This window comes from Homo sapiens, chromosome 2 (assembly GCF_000001405.40).
Source record: "Homo sapiens chromosome 2, GRCh38.p14 Primary Assembly".
In the NCBI taxonomy this organism is placed as follows: Eukaryota; Metazoa; Chordata; class Mammalia; order Primates; family Hominidae; genus Homo; species Homo sapiens.
In genome coordinates this window covers 103,811,859-103,837,619 of record NC_000002.12, presented here as the reverse complement: position 1 = coordinate 103,837,619, position 25,761 = coordinate 103,811,859, and the positions used below count along the sequence as shown (strand labels likewise).

General features: G+C 37.2%; 1 long non-coding RNA gene across 3 annotated transcripts; it reads left to right on the top strand.

Moving 5' to 3' along the window:
• The first annotated feature begins 17,451 nt into the window (after positions 1-17,451).
• On the top strand, positions 17,452-25,509 carry LOC105373520 (uncharacterized). 3 transcript variants are annotated; one of them, XR_001739200.1, is made up of 4 exons: positions 17,452-17,556; positions 20,016-20,086; positions 25,058-25,075; positions 25,280-25,509. It is a non-coding gene; the product is annotated as an uncharacterized LOC105373520 (long non-coding RNA). The 3 variants fall into 3 exon arrangements; XR_923123.1 differs by having other exon boundaries at positions 25,277-25,509; XR_923124.2 differs by lacking the exon at positions 17,452-17,556 and adding an exon at positions 19,695-19,817 and having other exon boundaries at positions 25,277-25,509.
• The last annotated feature ends 252 nt before the right edge of the window (positions 25,510-25,761 follow it).

The window sequence follows — 25,761 nt, the reverse complement described above, 5'->3', positions numbered from 1 at the left end:
TAACAAAATTCGTTTACAGATATTTTTATTACCAAGATAAACAAAATGTCAAGCATAGAGGATGCTCTTAATAAATATTTGTTGAATTAATTTTAGCACAGATATTAGCTAGATTCACCTTGCTGTGTTTCAGATCTAAATAATGTTGACATGTAATACCTTTGCCAAATTTTCTGCATATTCCCTGGTGTTTTAGAATCTCAAACTCTCTAATGTCTCTAAACTACTTACTGGGATACATTATTTTTTTCTCTCTTTTCAGTCTCGGGTGTGCAACATTTCCATTTTATCTATCAATTCTAACATGGAATCCCTGTCTTTCTTTAATTTATACACACATACACATACACACACACACACACACCAGGAAGGCCTTTGTGTGGATATCTGGCTTTGTTATCCAGATAACTATTTGGGAGAACACCAGAAGAATTATATTAAATGACCTTAACAACCAGAAAGTCTTATATAGCATTCCTATTACTACAGAAAAAAGTACCCACTGTAAATTTCTTATTGGTTATAATACTCACAGAGGGCTCTGGCTTCTGCCAATTTGTGGATCCCCTATCTTTTACCCTCTAATATCTTTTTCACTCCTTTCCTCTTGCATTGGACCAAGGAATCCTGAATTCTTAAGCTTATCAGCTGCTCTTAGTCCCTATGTTCCAACTCAGCTTATGCCTAGAACCTTCCCTAAGCTTATTCTTTATAATGAAAATAAAACATATTTGCTTTTATACTTATACTCCTGACACTATTCTAAGCATAATAGCATGCACACTTTACCTATTGCTTATACAAATCTTCTAAAGTGTCCTCTTACATTCCAATTTTACAGAAAATAAATCATGTGGCCTGCTTAAGGTCACAGAGCCAGAAGTGGCAGACCCCAGGCTTGAGACACACTCCGTTCCCTAATAGACTCTACTCTCCTTTGTAACTGTGTCATCAGGGTGGGTGATGTTACTGGAGCCCGTCATGTAACTTCCTGTCTCTGAGATGGTGGGATTCTGATAGCCAGACTGTTGGTGCCCACAAAGATGATACCAAATCATCAGCCCCTGGGTGCTTATTTTCCCTGTGATGCCAAAAGTACTGCCAGGTTGTCATCTTACAACTGTAAATTATCATCCTACAGACACCTTGGCGCCATATTTTCTCCCCAGCCTTGGCCCTTTTAGGTAAAAGAGCTGCTAGTTGGTATCTTTTTGGAATTCATAGCTGCTGGCCACGAAAGAGCATTTTCTGCCATCAATTCTTGTTTTCTGGAACTTGTGTAATGTCATGAGTCCTTATAACTTTGTCTACTGTGACAAGGATGTTTTTAAAGGATAGCTTTGAAGTATTGTGTAACTTACAAGCTTAGTGCAAAGATTCACTGCCATTTCTCTGATATTCTATGTTTAATTTGAGACTTTTAATACAGTCTAAACAATAGCTCAGGCTTATGAGCCAAATTTTGGCCATAATCTAGGTCTGGCTTTGTCTAAGTGTAGGCCTATCCTTGACACTGTAATTCCACATTCTACTGTACTATCATTTTATTCTTTTTGGGTCTTAGTATCTACCTCTCTTATACTTCTGGTTCTGCAGAATCCAGATTAGCATATCAGTTTGCTTTACATTTATTTTAAAATATAGCTCTCTGGATTCTTTTCCTCCTTTTTTTCTTTTTTTTTGTTTTTGTTTTTGAGACGGAGTCTCACTCTGTCCCCCAGGCCCCCAGGCTGGAGTGCAGTGGCGCGATCTCGGCTCACTGCAAGCTCCTCCTCCCGGGTTCACGCCATTCTCCTGCCTCAGCCTCCCGAGTAGCTGCGACTACAGGCGCCCGCCACCATGCCTGGCTAATTTTTTGTATTTTTAGTAGAGACGGGCTTTCACCACGTTAACCAGGATGGTCTCCATCTCCTGACCTTGTGATCCGCCTGCCTCGGCATCCCAAAGTGCTGGGATTACAGGAGTGAGCCACCGTGCCCGGCCTCTTTTCCTCTTCTTATATGCTCTACAACTGCACATTGCATTCATTTTATACATAAGTAAATATGACTTCCTTTGGAAGGGTTAATATTTGAATTCGAAAATGTACTAAACCCATATTGAGCACTCACTCCTGGCAAAAGTAGACTTCAGCATACTTTCTGTTTTCAGAGAACAAATCAAAGCCTTAGTTCTCAGCTTCAGAATCTACATTGTTCCCTGAGGCTTAGTCTGGTGAAAGTTACCTTAAAATGTCATGTTTTCCTCCAGTGACTAGAAGAAATAAAAGGCCTCAAGAAAACATTTGACTGAAAGTTAATCACAGGGACATTAACTGAGCAAGAATAGAATTCAGAAGCAAAGTGACTTAGTAGAACAACAGGCTGGTTGGGCATGGGATGCCAAGGAGAAATGGAGCTCTGGGAAAGACCTAGTGTAGTTTAGCCGTGAGGAGAATCAACAGATCCATCACTCAGCAAATTGCCCAAGCCAAAAACTCAGGTCTGCTTATCAAATAAAAACCATTATTTATAATTATACATGACATTAAAAAGAATCACAGAAAAGGAAGAGCGATTTAATCATCTGTAAGAAATATATTTGCCTGTAGATTCTTTTTGGAAGAAAAGAGAAAATTGATAGTACAAATGAGTGGAGAGATAGTAATTGCACCTAGTGAGAAAACCTACGCTACAGATAACCAAGAACTCACTCAGGGGCTGAAGCCAGATGACCTGGGCTCAAATGGGGCTTCACCATTTATTAGCTGTTTTAACCTTAGACAAGTCACCTCACTTCCTGAATCTCAGTTTTGTCATGTGAAACTGGGATAACCGTAAGTCCTACTTTGTAAGCTTATCATAATTAAACAAATTATAATTATGGAGCACATTAGAGCAATGGCTGGCGTTTTCATCAAAATCAAAGGTAGAAAAACGCAACACATTTCAAAAGCAGCCACATGTAGTTTATGGAAGCTTTGGGTTGATGGGTGCATGCAGCAAACCACCATGGCACTTGTACACCTATGTGACAAACCTGCACATTCTGCACATGTATCCCAGAACTCAAAGTAAAATTAAACAAACAAACAAACAAACAAACAATGCCACTTGGATCCTCGAGGACTGCTAAGAGAGGAGAAAGGGGATAATATAATGTTAACAATAAATGGAGCCTCTTGAAAATTAGGCAGATGTGGTTAATGCTGATGCTCTGGTCTGAAGGTTTGTGTATCTCCAAAGTTCATAGATCGAAGCCTACTCACCAAGTGATGATGTAAGTAGATCATAAAAGAACGAATGGTATTAGTATCATTATAGAAGACACCCCTAGAGTTGCCTTGTCTCCTTCCGCTGTGAGGATTCAGTGAGAAGAGAAAATGCCCTCTACAACCCAGGATACAAGCCCTCTCCAGACACTGAATCTTCCAGTGCCTTAATTTGGATTTCCAGCCTCTGACTCTGTGAGAAATAAGTGTCTGTTGTTTATAAGCTGCCCAGTCTGTGGTATTTTGTTACAACAGCCTGAACAGACTAAGACAGTTGCCTTAGAAAAGAAAAAGGATTAAGCCATATTATGTTTCCTCATTCTGCTTTCCTGAAAATCTCAGCTGGAAAGGAAATTTTACTGGATAATATTTAAAGTTGCACGTTTTAAAAGAAATTTTTAAAAATCCACTTATGTCTGAGACAGGACTGTGTATTTTCAAACAAAATACTTTTAAAGCTTAGCTTTTTTTCCCTTTCACCTATTAAAGCAAACTCTTTTAAAGTATAGTATTTTAAGATAACATTTTACATAATAAATCCTGAACTGCACCATTAAGGTTCTGTATGCTAAATAATTCTAAGCTTTCGTTACTCACACCAATCAGAGATAGAATAGTAGGTACCCAACCCTATTTCTCTAACAGTGGGGGAGAAGCAATTGAAACATCAGTGATGTCCTTTATCACTTACAAGATGAACTTTCATTGTTTCCAGATTTCACATTATTTTCAATTTTATATAAGCAAGAGTCTAAAACAAGGTTAAATCTAAATCAAGTGAGTCAGATAATAATCTAAATTTTTTCAAACAAAGCCCAAACATATCTAGCTATGTGTATAACACTTTGTTTAAAAGAGGCTGATTATTATAATATTGGCAGCTTTTACTCTTCCCATTTTTCACAGAAGGTAGAGAAGATGTATGAATTCATAAATGTGGATGCACACGTAATTCCAGGGAGATAGAAAAGGAAATGATGTGTTGGCTTTTCTAGCATTAAACAATTAAAATTAAATACATGCAGTGAAATATGCTTTTTCCCCTTATGACAATATCATACCCTCCAGAATAGTACAAACATAGGGTACAGTTAAAGTGATGATAGCAGATTGTACAATTAGATAGGAGAGCAGTTATTGTCTTGGATAGTTATAAGAATTACAAACATTTTTGTTGACAAAAATCCTGATAAATATAAAAATGGAGAATAACACAGTTTTCATGTACATAATGTGGAATCCCCATGATAGCTATTCGTGAACTGAAGCCTCACTACTTGCCATATTTAGGAGTTTTATGAGTCCCACATTTCCTTTAGAAATTGAATGTAATTCCGAGGAAGTGGTAATAATTTCAGCCCTTAAAAACTAAATGTTTAGTTAATACAAAAACAAAGAATAATTAAGAAAAGAGAATAATAGTAAATATCAGGCATGTATGTGTATATGTATATACATGCATGTCAGAGAGATGTTCATATATACATATTTGACACAGGGTGTATGATAAAATCAGCTCTTCTTCCCTTATTTTCTAGGTAAACAAAATGAAATTCTCAGAGGCTAAGTACTAACAAGACACTTGGCATGGGACAAGTGTTTGAAATATGTCAAAAGATCAGGGCTGCAAAATTTTAGTTGAGCGATACCTAAAAAATAATTAACTGGACTTTCTTTCACACCTACAGACTCCCAGATGAATAATGGGTGTTGGACCTAGAATGACCCTTAAGGTAACTTTATAACTTTCCCAAGCAAACTGAGATCAGGAGAGACTAAATAATTTCCAAGGTGAAAGTAGGATGAGAATTCCATATCTTCTGATGCCATGCCTTTGTTACATGAGAACTTATGCCTAGCACCATGGCTGACAAAACAGATATCATAATACTTCCACTTAATGAGGCAAAGAGAGAATCACACACATATCAAGGTTGATGGACTCTGTGAAGTTTGAATCTGATGAATGATTTTATTCTAATATTTTAAAAATTCCAGATATATATCATCTTAAATATTTTCAAACACATATTTCTCAAACCAAGAGCCCATTCTGGAGGGGTCAACATTCTACAATAAAATGAATAACCAAACAGGCTGCCGGCTCTCATTCTCTCCAGAATTATTTAAGAGGTAATCAATGTAACTAGTTAAGAGAAAATTTAACTCCCTTCTCAAAAGTAGGGGCTTTCAACAAATTTATTGAAACAAGTAGCAAAATATCTGAACATAAAGAGGTTTATCTATCTTTCTTATGTCTTATAAGGTGAAATCCAGACACATCTAAGAAAGTATTATTAAAAATCATAGAATTACTAGGTTACAATGTAGAAGAATATCTGTAGTCATTGAATGACTTTCTAGACATGAAGAAAAAATTGTCAGCTGGAAAAAAATGGAAACATTAAAAATTTTTAGCAGGGGTAAAGATGGTGGACTAGAAGCAGCTTGATTGCACTGCTCCCACAGCAAGGAGACAAAGTGGCAAGTGAACACTGACTCTGCAAGCTGATCTAAGAAACTACAACAAGATTCATTATGGAAGGGAAGGGCCATGGAGAACAGAAAAGAGCACAGCTGAACAGCTGCCCATCAGGGAGCTACATGGAGCCAGCAGAAGCTCCCCAACATGGAGAAAGAGTGAGCGAGTGAGAGCCCCTGGGGATCCACACTTCCCACGGGGACTAGTGCAAGCCTGGGAATGGGAGAGTCCCCTCATCCCCCTAAGTCTCTAGACTAATAGAGAAAACCACTTGGAGTTCTTCCAGAAGCAACAGTGAAGCTCACAGGGACCCCCACAGGCCTTGGATCTCAGAGCAGCCTAGCAACAGTGGCCATATCCATGATGGAGGCTGCAGTCCCTATGCCTGGGAGCAATAAGATTGTTTCACTGCCCTCCCCCAGCTTCCAGCACACTGGCCCTGCCTCTCCCTAAATTCTGTGGGGGGACACAGCTCTCTGTGTTCCCCTAGGAAACACCTGGGTGGCTGACAGGGTGACTCCGCCCACCCACACTGCTTCTACCTAGGTTCACATGCTGGCTGGCTCTTCCAACACAACTGGATCCACTTCTGCCTGCACACTGTGGGTGGATGCAGCTCCATGCACCCCTGGGGAAGTATGTGGACAGCAGATCAGGCAAGTCCACTCAACCCTGCTGCTCATTGCAGGGTGGAACATGTAAGCTGGGGTTTCCAGCACAGTAAACCTACCTCAGCCTGAACTCTGCAGGTGGGTGCAGCTCCACGTTCCTCCAGGAAGCACTCAGAGGGTGGATGAGGTGACCCCACCAACCTCTGCTGTTTCTATCTGAGTGGGACACACCAGCTGGGCAGAGCTCCAGGGACTTGCTTCTGTCTGAATTCTGTGGGCAGGTGTAGCTCCATATTCCTTCAGGAAGCACCCAGGTGGTGGAACAGGCGATTCCACCCACTCCCACTCCTCCTAGGTGGGTAAGACTCACCTGCTTAGGAGGCACTCAAGCAGGGAATTCCCCACTGTCAGAACACTGAGAGGGGTGTGACACCTGGGCTCGTAGGCCAGAGGGAGAGCAGGAAGTGCCTCCCTCCACAGAGGTAGTCTGGAAGGGCATGACCTGTCTGCCAACCTGGCCTCGGCCTGAGGGAGCCCTGTGGTCCAGAACATGTAACAAAGAAAATACAAGTGCAGTGCCAGTGATTGCAGGGGCCTCCTCCAAGGCCCAGGAGTAGACCAGGTGAAGGAGTCATCTCTCTCCCCCAACCACAGAGCACTGCTGCCAATATGCCAAAAAATACAAAAAAAAAAAAAAAAACCCATGAAACTAACAGCCTGTGGGCACCACTCTTTGGTACCACCTACTGGATCACAGCCCAAATTATACCACCAAAATATTTTGCTAGTGTACAGTGCTTATGAAAAGTAAGCAACAATCTAGCCACAGATAAAGGGCCTTGGCCTTCTGAAAGTGCCAAGAAGGAAAGCCAACTCTCTATACTCAACTCACATCACATTTAAAGGAACACCAGCCTTCATACATGAGAAAGAATCAATGTAAGAACTCTATCAATTCAAAAAGTTGTAGTGTCCACTTACCTTCAAACCAATAAAGCAATGGTTCTTAACCAGGTTGAAATGACTGAAATGACAGACACAGAATTAAGAGTCTTGATAGCAAAGAGGCTCATCAAGTTCCAGTAGGAAGTTGAAACTCAATCTAAGGAATCCAGTAAAATGATCCAGGAGCTGAAAGACAAAATAACCATTTTAAGAAAGAACCAAACTGAACTTCTGGAATCGAGGAATTTCATAATATAATCATAAGCATTAGCAATAGAATAGAAAATGATGAGAACAGAATGTCAGAGTTTAAAGACCAGTTCTTTGAGTCAACTAAGTCAGACAAAAATAAAGAATTTACAATTTCAAATTCTAGTTCCCCTTTCTTGGGGAATTTAAAAAATAAGCAAAACCTCTAAGAAATATGTGATTATATAAAATGACCAAATCTATGACTCATTGGCATTCCTGAAAGAGGAGAGAGAGTAAGCAACTTGGAAATAATATTTGAGGATATAGTCCTTGAGTATTACCCCAATCTTGGTAGCAAGGTGGTCATACAAATTAAATAAATACAGAAAACTCCTGAGAGATACTATACAAGATGACCATCCCCAAGGCACATAGCTATCAGATTTACCAAAGTCAACACAAAAGAAAAAAAATCTTAATGGCAGGTGGAAAGAAAGGTTAGACCACCTAAAAAGGGAACCCCAACAGGCTAGCAGTAGACCTCTCAGCAGAAATCTTACAAGCCAGAGGAGATTGGGGGCCTATTTTCAGCATTCTTAAAGAAAAGAAATTCCAACCAAGAATCTCATATCCTGCCAAACTAAGCTTCATAAGCAAATGAGAAATAAAATTTTTCTCAGGCAAGCAAGCACTAAGGGAATTCATTACCACCAGACCAGAATTAGAAGATGTCCTTATGGGAGTGTTAAACTTGGAAACAAAGGATTGAAACCTGCTACCACACAAACACACTCAAGCACATAGCCCACAGACAATATAAAGGAACTACACAATCAAGTCTACAAAATAAACAGCTAGCAACATAATGACAGAACCAAAATTTTGCATATCGATACTAACCCTGAATGTAAATGGCCTAAACACCGCACTTAAAAGGTACAGACTGGCAAGCTAGATAGAAAGACAAGACCCAATTGTCTGCTGTCTTCCAGAGATATACTGCTGTCTTCCAAAGATATACCTCACATATAATGACAGCCACAGGCTAAAAGTAAAGGGATAGAGAAAGATCTACCATGCAAATGGAAAACAAAAAAGAGAAGGAGTTACTATTCTTATATCAGATAAAATAGGCTTTAACCAACAAAAATCAGGGAAGACAAAGAAGGGCATGACATAATGATAAAGGGTTCAATTCAACAATAAGACTTAACCATCCTAAATATATACGCGCCGAACACTGTAGCACCCAGATTCATAAAAGAAGTTTTTCTTTACAAGAAACTTAGACAGCCACACAATAATAGTGGGAGATTTTAACACTTAACTGACTGTGTTAGAAAGATCATCAAGGCAGAAAACTAACCAAGAAATTCTGGAATTAAACTCAATACTTGATGAATTGGACCTGATAGACATCTACTGAATACCCAATAAACACAGAATATACATTATTCTGATCTGCACACAGAACATAGTCTAAGATCAACCACATTCTTGGTCATAAAACAAGTCTCGATAAAATTAAAAAAAAATCAAAGTCATATCAATCACACTGTAGGACCACAGTGCAATAAAAATAGAAATCAATACCAAGATGTCTCGAAACTACATGAAAATATGGAAATTAAGAAATTAAACAACTTCCTCCTGATTAGCTGTTGGGTAAACAATAAAATTAAGGCAGAAATTAAAAAAAAAAATCTGTGAAATTAATAAAAATAGAGACACAACTTACCCAGATCTCTGAGATGCAGCTAAATGTGTTAAGAGGGAAGTTTATAGTGAGTGCTAAATGTCTTCAACAAGAGGCTAGGAAGATCTTAAATGAATGATCTAACATGACACTTAGAGGAACTAAGAGAAAAGAACAATTCAACCCCAACGATAGCAGAAGAAAGTAAATAACTAAAATCAGAGAAGAACTGAACAAAATGGAGACCCAAAAGTCTATACCAAAGATGATTAAACCAAGAGTTGTCTTCAAAAGAATAAACAAGATTGATAAATCACTAGCTAGATTAACAAGGGAAAAAAAAGATCCAAATAAGCCAAATAAGTGCAATCAGAGATGGCAAAGATTACAAGTTATCCGATAGAAATGCAAAAGATCCTCGGAGAGTATTGTAAATAGCTCTACAGACACAAATTAGAAAATCTGGAGGAAAAGGATAAATTCCTAGAAATACACAACCTTCCAAGATTGAACCAGGAAGAAGGTGAAAACCTGAACAAACCAATAACGTGTTCCAAAATTGAATCAACAATAAAAAACCTACCAGTAAAAAATAGCCTACGTGGATTCACAGCTGAATTACATCTTATGTACAAGAAGAGCTGGTACCAATTCTTTTGAAATTATGCCTTAAAAATGAGGGGGAGGGGATCCTCCATAACTCATTCTACAAAGCCAGCATCATCCTGATACCAAAATCTGGCAGACACAATGAAAAAAGAAAAGTTCTAGCCAATATGCCTGATGAACATAGACCCAAGGATCCTCAACAAAATACTTGGAAACTGAATTCAGCAGCATATCAAAAAGTGAATTCACCATGATCAAATAGGCTTTTTTTCTTGGGATGCAAGGTTGGTTCAAGATAGACAAATCAATAAATGTTATTCACCACATGAATAGGATAAAAAACGAACACCGTATGATCATCTCAATGGAAAAAGAACACCATTTATAAAATCCAATGTTCTTCATGATAAAATCCCTCAACAGGCTGGGCATTAAAGGAACATACCTCAAAATAGTAAGAGGTATCTATGACAGACCCACAGCCAACATCATACTGAATGGGCAAAAGTTGAAGCCATTCCCCTTGAGAACTGGAAGAAGATAAGAATGCCTACTTTCACACTCCTATTCAGAATAGCAGTAGAAGTCCTAGCCAGAGCAATCAATCAAGAGAAAGAAGTAAAAGGTGTCAAATAGAAAAAGAAGTCAAAATATCTCTCTTTGGTGGCAATGTCATTCTATACATAGAAAACCCTAAAGACAGTGAAAAGGCTCCTGGAACTGATAAGTAACTTCAGTAAAGTTTCAGGATATGAGATCAATGTACAAAAATCAGTAACGTTTCAAACACCAATAACTTTCTAGCTGAGAACCAAATCAAGAACACAATCCCATTTACAGTAGACACACACACACACACACACACACAGATACACACAAAGAAATACATAGGAATTCATCCAACCAAGAGAGGTGAAAGATCTCCACAAGAATAACTCAGGAAATGTAGATGACACAAATAAATGGAAATACTTTATGGCCATAGATTGGAAGAACCAATATTGTTAAATCAGCCATATTGCCCAAAGCAGTTTACAGATTCAATGCTATCCCTATCAAGATATCAATGTTATTTTTCACAGAATTAGGAAAATTGATTCTAAAATTTATATGGAATCAAAAAAGAGGCCAAATAGCCAAAGCAACCCTAAGCAAAAAGAACAAAGCTGACATCACAGTACTCAACTTCAAACTATACTGTAAGGCTATGGCAACCAAAACAGCATGGTACTGGTATAGAAACATACATACAGATCAATGGAACCGAATAGAGAACCAAGAAATAAATCTATCCACTTACAATCATCTGATCCTTGACAAAATTGATAAAAATAAGTGATGGGGAAAGGACTCCCTATTCAGTAAATGGTGCTGGGGTAACTGGCCAGCCATATGCAGAGAATGAAACTAGACAATTACCTCTTACTACACATAAAAATTAACTCAAGATGGATTAAAAATTTAAATGTAAGAGCTCAAACTATAAAAATCCTAGAAAAAATTGTAGGAAATACCCTTCTCGACATTGGCTCTGGCAAAAGGTTATGGTTAAGTCCCCAAAAACAATTACAACAAAAACAAAAAATTGATAAGTGGGACCTAATTGAACTAAAGAGCTTCTGCACAGGAAAGGAAGTTACCAACAGGGTAAACAGACAGCCTACACAAAGGGAGAGAATATTCACAAAATATGCATTTGACAAAGACCTAATATCCAGAATCTACAAGGTACCTAAACAAATCAACAAGCACAAAACAAATAATCCATTTAAAAATGGGAAAAGGACATAACAGACACTTTTCAAAAGAAGATGTGCAAGTGGTCAAAAAACATGAAAAGAGTGCTCAACATCACTAATCATTAGAGAAATAAAAGTCAAACCACAATAAAATATGGTCTCCCACCATTCAGAATAGCTATTATTAAAAAGTAAAACAAAACAAAACAAAACAACAACAGCAACAACAAAAACAGATGTTGGTGAGGCTGCAGAGAAAAGGGAACGCTTACACAGTCTTGGTGTGAATGCAAAATACTTCAGACACTGTGGAAAGTAGTCTGGAGATTTCTTAAAGAACTTAAAACTACCATTTGACCCAATAATTTCACTACAGAGTATATACCTGGAGTTAAATAATTTATTCTGTCAAAAAGACGCATGCACTCATGTTTGTTGCAGCAGTATGTCCAATAGCAAAGGCACAGAATCAATATAGGTGCCCATGAACAGCGGATTGGATAAAGAAAATGTGATACATATACACCATGGAATACTACACAGCCATAAAGAAGAATGACATCATGTCCTTTGCAATGACATGAATGGAGCTGGAGAACATTATCCTAAGTGAATGATCATCAGAACAGAAAACCAAATACCACGTGTTCTTACTTATAAATGGGAGCTGGACATTGAATACGCATAGACATAAAGATGAGCGACAGACACTGAGGACTTCCTGATAGGGGAGGGAGGAGGGAAGGAGACATGGGTTGAAAAAACTTTGGATACTATGACCACTAAATGGTTGACGGGATCATTTGTACCTAAAACTCAACATAACATAATACACTCACGTAATAAACCCTCATCTAAGATTTGTAAGGTGATGTACCCCTTCTTCTAATTTAAAAGTTGTAATTATAAAAAAGCATAGTTTGCCACATGTTTTGTGTAAAGGCAAAAGATGATAAACCTAAAATGTACATACTAAAATAAAAAAGAATAATAAAAAGTTATTTAATGGCAAATACTACACAGAAAGCTGGAGACAAACAGCAAACTGGGAATCTGTATTACAGAAAAGGGTTTAATATCCTAAAAACCTAAAAAATTCTTCTAAAGAAATTAAAATTATGAATATTTCAGCAGAAGAAATAGCCTAAGTAAGGGGAATTTACAAATAACTACTAATAGAAAAATAAAGAAGAATAAGAAAATAAGTTCACCTTCACTAGTAACAAAAATCCAATCAAAACAAAAAGTGGTGTTATTTTGTTCTTTTATATGTTTCATCAACATGAAAAAGAAATGAAAAGCAGCTCTGCTGTATGAACCAGAGAAGCCAAAATGGTTCTTTCGAAAGAAAAACAAAAATGGTTCACAGAGAGGAGAAAATGGAAATGATGGTATATAAAATGCCTGTTTCCAGTCTTTCTTGAGTCCAGGCTTCAATCCTGCTTCTGGTTTCTATGAAATACTTCTAAATCCCTGCAACGGCTTCTCTTTCTATTTAAGCTGGTTTGAGTTGAGTTTCTGTCACATACAAACAAGAGGCACAGTAATAAGTAATAATAAAATGACCTGCTGCAGTATAGACAAAAAGAAAGGATAACCCAAAACGTAAAAATGATGTAAGTTCATAAACTTATGAAAAATTGATCAGAGCATCTACATAGGCTTGAGCAGTCTCATGTGACTTGCACAAGGACCTGGGTTAGAGACACAGCGAGAGGAATGGGGAGTAAGGTGGGATGGGATTTCTATACTGTTATTAATTAGTGAGTTTCTCCAAAGCGTGGTGTGGGTACCGGGCTCATTTTAAAGTGTTATAAATGATCTGGGGAGTGAGTTCACAGATACTGAAATGCCAGACAGTGAAATGCCAGCCGCAGAAATATTTCAAAAACCTGTGTCAGTGGGCAGAAAATTGGCATATGAACTTCCAAAAGGATAAATATGAGGAAATGCCTTTAAAAGAAAGTTGTTCCATCTACACATAAAGAGTGCAAATGACCTATGAATCATTCTCTGTAGACAGCCCAGCAGGCTTCACTAGGAAAGGTTTTAAAACCACCTCATGGAATTACCTTGGCATAAGTCCAAGATACACAAAGGTGGCTCTAAGTATCAAAAACACCTGAGAAAGATGGTCACAACTGCAGGTTGCTAGGTGCACCCAGCATCCTATTGCTAATAAATTGCTCCTTGAAGTTTTACTATAGTATTGATCTAGTATTCTGATGGCTGGCTAGATAAATTAACCTCAGGCAGAGTGCTTGTGGATAAAACTGAAAAATGTTGCATGTATGTGTTTAAAAATTTATTTCCCATATTTTCCTTAGTGCATATTATTGTTATTAGTGTACTTATTTCAACATAACCTGTAGATAAAAAGTCAGAACTGAAATGTCTTTCTCTAAAAAAAAAAAAATGTTGGAATTGGAAGCATGTGTATCTTGTATAATGTTTGCATGAATGAATTAAACACATGGTGGTGTGATCTGGTCAATTACTTGTTTCTTCTGATGTGGGGAGGGGATAGGTCTTTATCTTATGTAAAATGGTAATGAAGACTTTACATAACACTACTTTACCTCCTCTTATCCTCCAAAGCAGCTACAGTAAAATTCCAGTTTAAAACAGTGTTGAGTTTTGACTTTATTATGAATATGTAAGTATTTTCATCACTGAGCTGAGTAATATACAGTTATTACATTTCTTCTTTTTCCTGCAAATGTTTGCTTTTCCTATAATTAACAATGCCTAGATTTTCCATTTGCTTATATATTTTTACCGCATGGACATGAATTTGCACAAATTCTGCAACTCTGTAAAACTCTTCTCATTTATATTCAATGCAACATGTAATAATTCCTAGTTTTCCCATTCACCCTTTTTGAATTTTTGTTATTGCCTGCAAAACTTTTATTTACAGATTTCCATCCTTCTGCTCCGAATTTATCCAGTCTTTTTCTTGGTCTGCTGCCAAATATTGGAACTTACCTTTGCTTATATTCTGAAAAATCCTTTCTCCTCCCTGTTCTGTGAAATAAATCTCAGATTCTTCTATTTTTTCAGTTTACTTTGATGGAGGACATATTCCAGTTGTGTGTCAAGAAGGAATCTCCAGTTGTATGTATATTTTTGCAACTGTGTAATTTGAAAAGGGCTTTATTTTGCTCTCACAATTAACACTTTGGCTGGTGATAAAATTTTAGGTGAAATTCATTTTCCCTCAAAATTTTTGAGATACTTTGGTTGATTTTATTGCTTATTGTGTTGCTATTGAATTCATTCATTATGGTTTCTTCTCTTTTATATACAACATTTATTTTTGCTTTGAAAGCTTTTAGGATTTTTGCTTATTTCATAGGTTCTTAATTTTTACCATAAGTATGCCTTAGTAAAAATATTTTTCTTGCATTTTACTGGGTATTCAATGGGCACTTTAAATCCAGAAGCATGTGTACTGTAAAATATTATTTATTTAATTCCTTGCAAATCTTTTCCCTTTGGTATCTCTGGTCTCTCTGAAAATCCATCAGATTTTTTCTCATTTCTTAATGTGTTAGCTCCTATTATCCATCTTTAGTTTTTCTTTTGTTCTGCCTTCTGGAATATTTAATTAAATTGCTCTTCAAACTATTCTCTTGCTTTTAAAAATTCATCATATTTATTCCCATGAGCTCATTCCAAATTCCTGTCTTTCACCTCCTGTTCATATTTCATAGATGTAATATCTTCTCTTATTACTCTGAGAATATTGCAGTTTCAATATTGTAATCAGCCATTCTATATTTTTTTTTACTGATTTACAGTTATCTTTCTTTCTAAATTTTACTTACCTTATTTTTGGCCTTTCACTTTAGTGGTTTCCTATTTTTTTTTTTTTTTTTTTTTTTTTTTTTTTTGAGACGGAGTCTCGCTCTCTCCCCAGGCTGGAGTGCAGTGGCACGATCTATAAGCTCTGCCTCGCGGGTTCACACCATTCTCCTGCCTCAGCCTCCTGAGTAGCTGGGACTACAGGCGCCCACCATCATGCCCAGCTAATTTTTCGTATTTTTAGTAGAGACGGGATTTCACCATGTTAGCCAGGATGGTCTTGATCTCCTGACCTCGTTATCCGCCCGCCTCGGCCTCCCAAAGTGCTGGGATTACAGGCCTGAGCCACCACGCCCGGCCTTTAGTGGTTTTAAGACGCTTGGTCAGTTATTCAGGTTTGAAAATAAGGCATTAAAATGATTGGATACACTGTTTACATGATGGAGTGGTCTATTTGTGTTTCACTTATGGTGATTGGATGGGTATTTTTTGGAAGAACACACAACCTCGATATCTGCAGGACTTTTCTCTGGAGACATACAGACTTTGTGCAGGAGATTCCTCTAACCCTTGCATAGGAGAAGAGGGCGACTGAAACCAGTGTGTCAGGAGCTGAGTGGGGAAAGACTAGTGATCTGACTGATCAGGCATAGACTCACATCATCCCCTTTATTCCAGTCCTGTGTCTACACTGACCCCCTCCTGTTCTCAATAATACCCAAGTCCAGATGTTCTTCAATTGAATTTCCCCAAGGAATTAACTTCCCTCTCACAGGTTGTTGCTCAGCACCCTGGCTGAAGAAGGAGATCTCATATCTAAGCTACTTTATAATCGGATTTTCAGCCAATCCTCAGAAAAGTTTCTAAGATTCCTGATACCCAAGTTCTGGGTTTCTGCAGCATGAATTGGCTTCTTCTCATTAGAAACACTTCTGCAGGCTTTTAGTTTTCAACTTTCTCAATTTCCGTCATCTCTATATGTGTTCCTATTGTTGACATGTCTAAGACATTGCTGGCTTAAATCTTTTGTCTTTACTGCCTTTAATGCCATTGCAGCCATTTTATGGAATGAGAAGTGGTAAATGAATGTGTTCAATCCACCATGATTAGCTGGTGATGGTGAAATTTATGGTGGTTTAATGTGTCTTCTTGTGTTCCTTCAACAATTGGGTTTCAAAGCCTGAGCCTAGTGTTCCTCATGATTAGGTTACTGCGGATGTGAATCCCTGGTTGTAATCACTAGAAAATTTTGCAATAGATATTAGCTTTTCTAAACATCTGCTTTAATGGGTAAGCCTTGTATTAAAGTGAAAATGGAATGAAGATATGCATATGTTCGAAAGTATGGCTGGTAAACTAAAGCATTGTTTTTGTTTGCATGTGCAAACACACACATGGTCACTTTAATTTAGAAATGCCTGCTTAAAATATTTCTTCCACTTAAAATATTTACTTATTCTTGGATTATTTTACAAAGATAACAGTAGAATTCCATAGCTACTTAAAATATTTTACAAAGTTAAACTGTCAATAGGAAAAGCAGTGAATTTTCTTACATTCACACTAATTTGTACATATCTGTATTGGACCTAAGACTCTTTCATAAAAGCATGTTTTCATAAGAGATGAAGAAAGAGGGTCTGAAAAGATGGTAGTATGGGCTATGTCATCCTCTCCTTCTGAGAAGATAGGGACTTGGAATGAGGAAACTGGAAGGAATAAGGACGGGCTTGCCAGGAGGTTTTACCTGGTGGTATTGGGCTGGCTGGGTTGACAGGTAAAACTTCTGATGCAGATGTACATACAGCAAGGTCAGTGTGTAACTAGAGGCCCCAAGGCCACCATCACCTTGGCCAACACACCAAGGACCATCATGCTCAGTCCTGGATGCCCAGAAATCCTGCAAGGCAACGAGAAGTGCTTGGACTCCTGGGACCACCACACATATTTTGAATATATAGGAGAACAAAACATATAAACAAAATGCCAATTTTCTGATTATCATTGATACTCTATACTTAGTTACATTTGCCTGTTAGAATTCAGTCCTCTCCCAAAATTCTTGAGGATGGTACCTATTAAAACTTACATTTCTCTCTTTTCCTTTGTTTTAGGGATAAGGAATTTTGCTGTTAAGATTTTTCCAGAGATGTTCAAGTTCAAAGACGTTACACAATTAGAGGCATCACATCAATAGAGAGGAGCTGACCCTGGACCTCTCTCAGGTCTGATTTTCAGTGTGTCTTGGAAAATATCTTTTTTTACTCTTCTTTTCCCCCTAAAGTATTTTGTTTTCCAAGTTAAACAGTTTTAGTTCCCTCAATAATTCCTCATAAAACACACTTTTATAGATCTTTACTGATCTTATTAGGGAGGCAGTATTGTATATTGATTAAGAAGTTGGGATTTGACCATAATTTGGTTTCAATCTCAGCTTTATCACTTACTAGCTGTGTGACGTTGCACAAGTCGCTTAACTTCTCTGTTCTTTAGTTTCCTAATTCGAACGTGGTGATATTAATAGTACCGCCCTAAGAGGTCTCCTGTGAGAATAAAATGAATTTATAGGTGGCCAATTAAAATGCTCAGTAAATATTATTAGCTAGTTGTTTACCAGTTAGTTGCTCTCTTCAGAGTGTTCTTGACTTGTTAATATTCTCTACATTGAAGTATTAGTCCAGGTGTGAGTTGACCAATGTATATGATGGGAAATCCTTCTAAGAGGATATCAATTCATAAGCCAACGTTTACAACATTAAGTCTGCCAAATTCAAATCTAGCCTGGGGTACCAACCTTAGGTATTTTACTGTCCCTTCTTCCTCTCTCTCTCTCTCTCTCTCTCTCTCCCTTTTTTTCCTCTCTCTACATATGTGTGTGTGTGGGGGGGGTGTATGTGTGTGTGTGTAAAATATCATATATGTGATATAAAATCAATATGTAATATTTGTAAAACTGTCTTCACCAAATTTATATATGATGATCATTTTGTCCAATAAGAAACATAACCTGAAATTTAAAAATATTTATTCATTTATTTTGAGACAGATTCTCGCTCTGTCGCCCAGCCTGGAGTGCAGTGGCATGATCTCAACTCACTGCAACCTCCGCTGCCTGAGTTCAAGCAATTCTCTTGCCTCAGCCTCCCGAGTAGCTAGCTGGTATTACAGGTGTGCACCACCGTGTCTGGCTAATTTTTTTTTCTTTCTTTTTTTTTTTTTTTGTACAGCCAGGTTTTCATCATGTTGACCATGGTGGTCTCAAGCACTTGACCTCAGGTGATCTGCCCGCCTTGGCCTTCCAAAATGCTGGGATTACAGGCATCAGCCACCACACCCAGCCACATTTTTTTATTAAGAGTAAAGTAACATTGGCTTCAATTCTACTTTCCAACACCACGGTCTGTGCAGAAATCTTCTAGATTTCTGCAAATGTATAAGAAGCTTGCATCAACATAGCTTTCCTTATTTCCTGAGTATTTGATTCCTTCTTCCCTGGTGTCTTATTCCCGTTTAAACGCAGAATCTAGCCCTTTTAAGTACTACTGTATCTTCATGCAGATAAAAATTCCAGGAGTCTAGTAGGCTCTATTGGTCCTGCATGGGAAAGAGTGACATCCAGGTGTACAGGTAATTTTGAATGACACAATTAGCACCATCATTATAATTTTTATTACTTCTCCCTAGGGAGGTTTCACTGTTCCTACAATAAATTCTAGCCTCTTGCCATTTATTCTTCCTGGCTTTTTTCTCTGTCCTCTTGATTTTTCTTTCCTTTTCCCTTTTGAGAACAAAACCAACAAATGTATCTTTCTATAGCATGTACACCAGGCTATCCCTTTCCCCTCCTGCCCAGCACCTGCCAACACCCATACTGGGAGAGAGCCTACTGCACCCATGGATTCTTATTGAAAGAAGGAGTTCCCTCTGCCCCCACAGGCATTCTGGCTTCAGCCATTAAAATGTTAATGCTTTTAACCCTGAATAAAGGGGCATATTAACAATTGTAAGGCCTTTAGGTTTCTACGATGTATTTTTAAAGTAATGACTAATGAGGAAGAAACGTTAAGTATAAACTGATGACTGATTTGTCTTATCCTCTATCATATGGTATCTACCAAGTATGATGGAGGTTGAGATGTTCTGAAACCATATATGTCTAGGGACTCACTGACCTATCCTGACCCCTGAAAATTCTACTTCAAATCAAAAAGAACCTAAATTAGGACTTTTTCTCTCTGCTACAGAAAAAAGAACCCAGAAAAAATGGAATCTAGGGCAGTTTTATTTTGACGTAGAATCTTGAAATGGAAGTGCCTACCCTTGTCCCTAGGTTGGGGCGGGGCAGGTGGTGTTGGGAGTTGGTGTAACTGGAGGCTCTGAGTGGCCAAGAGACAGCAGAGAAGAGCGAGAGGGACTTATATTCCACCAAGAATCCTGCAAAAAGTGGAGCATGCTTTTAGGATAGACTGAAGAGCTAAAACAAATGGTACCTAGTTTTTATTTTTCCTTGGACTATTTCATATGTTTTCCACAATAATTTACAAATACAATTTCATCAATTTTTAAACAAATTGTACAGTAATAGCAAAATGATTTAAAAGAGTCTAACCTTAGAAATGGTGGCTTTTAGGGATTTTAACATACTTTGACTTTCTTTAACTACATCCTCTATTTTTTATATTAGCATCAAAGAAGACACTCTAAAAATCTATGAGATGACATCATGTGTTCTGGCAAAATCGTGGTTAAATACAGGTATACATATTAATATATTTTCTGAAAATATGTTATATTAACTACGATGGTTTTAAATAACTATTGTGGCTTAAATAAGTATTTGAAATAAAATGATATTGTACATTTTATTAAATAGGCCCTCTTGTGCTCAAGGTTTGTATTTAAGACACCTTTTAAATACTATAGATAACAATTTTTCATAATGTTTATTGTAAAATTTGGAACTATCCAAGCATCAGTGGAAAGCATAACAGAAAACATTTAATATTACATTAAATAATTTGGAGCACGTTGATTACTATTACTGAAATAAAAATATTAATGTACATATACATATTCTTTTGAAATCTGTTAAATATTAGATTTAATTTCATGTTTAATTTTAAATATAATTTCAGGCAGCTAATATTTGCTTGCTCATTCAAAGGGTTTAATCCTCCTTTTGGATTAATGGTCTGCAAAATGTCAGTTAAATGATATTATCACTTCATATTTAACTTCATACACAGCACAAAATAACCTCATCTAAGTCATGGAAATTCACTGGCTATTTTTTGAAGGTATCAAAAGTAGAAAAGAGTGGCGAAGAGATGCTCTGAAGAAGAATTACATAAATCCTTTTTCTTCCTGAGAGTCCCACACTCATTTTGCTAAACTTTGAGCCACAGTGAATTCTGATGCTTGAGTATAAGGCCCTGAAAATAGGCATTTTCCATGGAAACGCCGATAGGTCTCTTATCATGGCGGCTCTGGGAAGGCAACTGAGGCTCTAGGCTCCTGTGCGCAGACTCAACTTCTCTCTCCCTTACAGAAGTGGTAAATAATATTGGAACAAAGTGAGTCAGGATACTTAGGATTCACTGTAGCAAAGAGAATTGGAACAACAAAAGCACTGTCACTGATGAAATTGGAATTTTTTTTTTAATTAACACTTCTAATTAGAATTTAACATCTCACTAGCTTCGTATGGGATTTTTCGCTTCCTTAACCTCACGGAAACCTATCTGTTGGCTCTAAATAGGCAGTCACTTACCAGGCACCACTTGAGGATTTCAATTAATCCCAAATCCTCCAACTTTGGTTTGTGAACTTGTCTTTTTGCTCTTGTGCCATTCCCTTCTGTTGGAACACACTCACTCAAAGTCCTCTCAACAGGTATTGTTGTGCCACCCTCCTCCCTGATCCTACTTCTCTCCTATCTTCAAGAAACAATTTCATAAATTTGATTGTGACTATTAAAAGAGATCATTGGTAATAGCATTTGTCATTAGGTAGGCCCCAGCCATGTGCCAGGATGTGTGATGGATTCTTTGCAGGCTATGAGGGGAGGTCTGAGTTATGTGTGAATCAGGGTCTATCTGCCCACCTCTGTGTTATCCTGGTTAAAGTCAGAAATACAGGCAGTGGACATGTGTCATTCTGAAGCTCTTCTTGTCTACTCTTCAAAATGTTATCAACATCAATAAAATCTAAGGTTATTTTCAGTGATTTTTAATTCTAAGGAATAAATGACATTTTGATGTATCCTAGAGAACCTCAAAGCATTTTCATTCGGACACACCTTGTAAATTGTACCATATATCTACAGAAAGAGGATAATTCACTCATATTTGCTGACTCAGTTAAAACTGAAAACTTGGCTGAGCTCAGACTTTGCTAGAATTTTGAAGAAGGCTCTGAGGATGGTAAAAGGTTATCAATGTGCATTCAAGAGTGTATGAAAGTCATCCAGTCTGCCTGTCATTCTCAATCTAGGAAACAGTGTAGGGGCCTAAGAAAGCAAAATAAAAAAAGAATACCTCTAAAATCATGATGCTAATGTGTAGATGTTAGCATCTCTGAATCTCAGGAAATTCCTAGGTAACTGATAAAGAATTCCAAGGGTTTCTTCCAGGGAACCTCATCTAATGGTAAAAGTCCCATCATTAGATATTCATTTATTTAACTTCTATTCTTTTTGTTTTCTGTGCAAAGTTACCTAACCCAGGAGAGATAGGTAATATTTGGAGTCTCATTTAAACTTGATATGAAGGAACTTGATGAGATCTTTTAATGCGGGTGGTTAGAATAAAGATAAAACCCTGGAGCAGAATTAGGAAAATGGGATCCTTTGGTGGCCAGGAGACTTGCAGAGTGTGGGAAGAGGAAGGGAGAGAGCAGGGCCCTCCAGGAGCTCCCTCCATTGCCCAGGTCTGCCCTGACTTGGCCAAGCCACTGTTTTTTCATGGCATGCAAAGGTGGCAAGTGCCTTAGCAATAAGATGAGGTTGAATGGGAATGTCACAGCCCTGCCACCACCGAGCAGTTCGGAGAGCATGGGAGATTTTTAACATAATAATTATAGCATAATCATTTAAACATTATAATTATAACATCTTTTGTGTAAGGTCTTTCTTCCATGGAGAATTGCCAACATTCATCATCATCAAAAGTATTTATTTAGCACCCACATGTGTATAGTTCTGCTGAGTGCTAGTTTTTTCTTTGATAATTTTTATAACATCTTAAATGGGAAAAGAAAAGCTGGAGGAGGAGGAGATTTAGGGAAAAGAAGGTTAAAAAAAGAGCCTTGGCTATTTTAAAACTACTCTCAGTAACTTTTGAGAACAGAAGTATAGGTGGACCCCAGAAATGGAGAAAGATTTTTCCTAATGAGGGATGGAATAGAAAGTACCATTTCCTAGCAATATTTCTATTTTTCTAGAAATGTCATTAAATAATAATTTTTTTGAAAACCTAAGTGTGCAGAGCATTCTCTACAATCAAATATCTTAAGGTATGAGTGTTTGATCTAAACATCTCTATATTTCACCCAAACTTTTAAACATTTTAAAGAAATCTGATGAAGGAAGAGCTCTCTTGGTTGATGTTATTAAATGTTATCTTTGCTAATTTCCTTAGGGTTGGCAAAGCCTCACCAATCACAGAGATGCTTTTAGATCTAAACGAGTTTTGTGTGAAACACTTCAACATTTTCTATGCATACTTACATGAAAAACACATGCAGCCAATTCAAGGCAAGTAGGTTGTGGAATTATATAGATCTAGAATTATTTCCACAATTATTTTCACACTACAGCTTACACATATGTTGAAAAGTCTATTGTAGGATATACAGTATTTTGAAAATTCCAGAAGGACTGGAAAATAAAGTGTAGATATTTTGTAAAATACTTAACCAAATGGTTCACACAAATATAGAAGCAAACTGTGCACTTGGAGATTCCCTTTTAGGCCCTCTTCCCTTGAGTTTAACATATGTGTCCTACTTTTTTAAAATACCGAAAATATTTGCAAGTATGTTTATTGAAATGTTTCTAAATTCTTTGCAGTAGTCATCCCATTTACATCCATACATAATTCCCACTCTTTTCTGTGGGCATGGTGAGTGTGGGGTGGAAAAACTTGGATAATTATATCTTACGAGTTTGTAAGATTTTAAATTTCCAAAGGAAAATTAGACCCATAAATTTTTTTTTCAGATGTGCAGCTGAGAAATACTTTTTTAAATCGCTAATTTCACTGCAGATTAACACATTCAGTTCTGCCAAAAATCTGCCTCTTCCCATCCTTTCTTAACTGTGCCAGCCACTCTCTTCCCCTTGCCTGACTGCTTCTTTGATGTCTTCTAGATTGAAAAAAACAAAAACAAAAACAAAACAAAACTCTTTATTCCCCTGAAAAGTAGATAGGGGATGCTGATAATTTCTGCTCTTTCAAAAATCTCTTTTTCTTAAATTGCAGAGAAAACAGAGAATGAATTGAAGAATCATTAAATCAAGGGCAAATATTACCACAATACAGTTCAAGTATTTATCAAATATATTTGTGTCCCACCTCAATAAATTCATTTTATGAAATCCAGACTCTTAGTACAGATATATTCAGAATGGATTCATCCTTGTTAAAAGGAAAGCATTTCTTTAAAATTAACTACTAGAATGTCAAAAATAATGCAATTTATAAAAAATAAAATTATAGTTAACTTGTCAGGTATAAATCTTTCCAAAATGAGATCACAAAGAAAACGTAGCAAAATCTGTCTATAACCTAAACCAAGCTATATTAATAAAATATACTTTTTAAAGGATATCGTCTTTATTGAGGTTCTCTGGAAGAAACAAAGGTAAAAGATAAATACATTCCACAGGGAGTCAGAGTCTATTGTAAAATATGCTAATAAAGAGTGACAAATAATTCAGGTTCTCATGTTGAAATTAAAATGGGTCCTATGATTAATATATAACCCTTGTCAATATCAAATAAAATTATTTTATGGAATATATGTATAATATATAATACATTGATACTCATACATATGTGTATATGTATTATGTGTGTTTGTGTGTGTGTGTGTGTGACTGTGTGGGTATTAATTGGGCTCCCTGGGGGCAGAGTACAAAGCTGAATGGCAAAGTGGAAACAAGCAATTCATGGTGAAAATATTGTCAAAGATGGCCCCGTATGGACCACTGAGAGGTAATTGCCTTTGATGTACATTTTCTGCCAGGGCTTTACAAAATTCCCAGGTGACTCAAACCAATATTGAGAGTTCCCTTGAATTGTAAAGTTTTCTAAAATAAAACCCTTTTTATTCTTGACAATAATGTATTGGAATTCAGCCATTTAAAATAATAACATGATTGCCAAGTTCATCACTAAATTCTGTTTTTTAGCTGTAGTCCCCCCAAAATTAATCTTCAACATTCCCAGGGCGAGCAAGGCCTACAACATTGATTATTTGATGTTAGCAGCATAAAAACATTTCACATGAGAATCAAAGTGCCTGTGAACACCTACCACATAATCCCCCCTTTCACTGGAGATAAATTATGAATTCAAGGATGTAATAAAATAATGACAAGGACTATGTTGTTTATTTCAATAAGCAGGCTGCATCCAGTGGTTAAAAGCAGGCAGAATTTAAGAACACAGCTTTAATTTTTTCTTTTTCTCTACTTACCCCTCTGGATTTCCAACTGTGAACCAGATAGGAGAATGCAACCTGGTAAGCCATGGGTTAGACTCAATCCAAAAGTGTGCCTGTGTTTTTAAAAATGTCTTTGTTCAGTTTATTTTCTGATGAGGGGAGGAGGGTGTCTGCATGTAAGATGTCTTCCTTTCTCTGTTTAAGAAATTAAATATAATTGCCAACATGTAGAAATTATGAGAGTTCACCAAAAACTGGTCTATCTGTTTCCCTTGAAAGCAGCAGGATCTTGCAACATTAGACTTTCCTCCGCACACTGCAATCGTGGCAGGGGCACCCTCTGTGGGAGGCCTGGTCTCAAGCTTGTGCTGCACCTGCTGGAAGGCTCCATTGGAACACCCGTCTGCTGCTGCACCCCCTCCCTCACTGCTTCCCACTGGGAAACTGGGCTGATATTAATTCAGAAAGAGAGTGGATTACTTCAGAGGTTTCACTAGACTTTCCTCACTTTATCTCAGTAAGTAATGGACAGAAGTTTTTGTTGACAATATTGGCCTAGGATTTTTTGAAGTACTATTTGCCAAATTCTGTTCTGTGCAACACTGGTTCCTCAGAAACTAGACTATTAAGAAAAAAATAGAAAAGATTCCTGTTGTCAAATAAGTTTTTAATTTAAAAAAGAAAAAACAATTTTAAGAGACAAAGTCTCACTCTGTTACCCAAGCTGGAGTGCAGTGACAATCATAGCTCACTGCAGTCTTGAA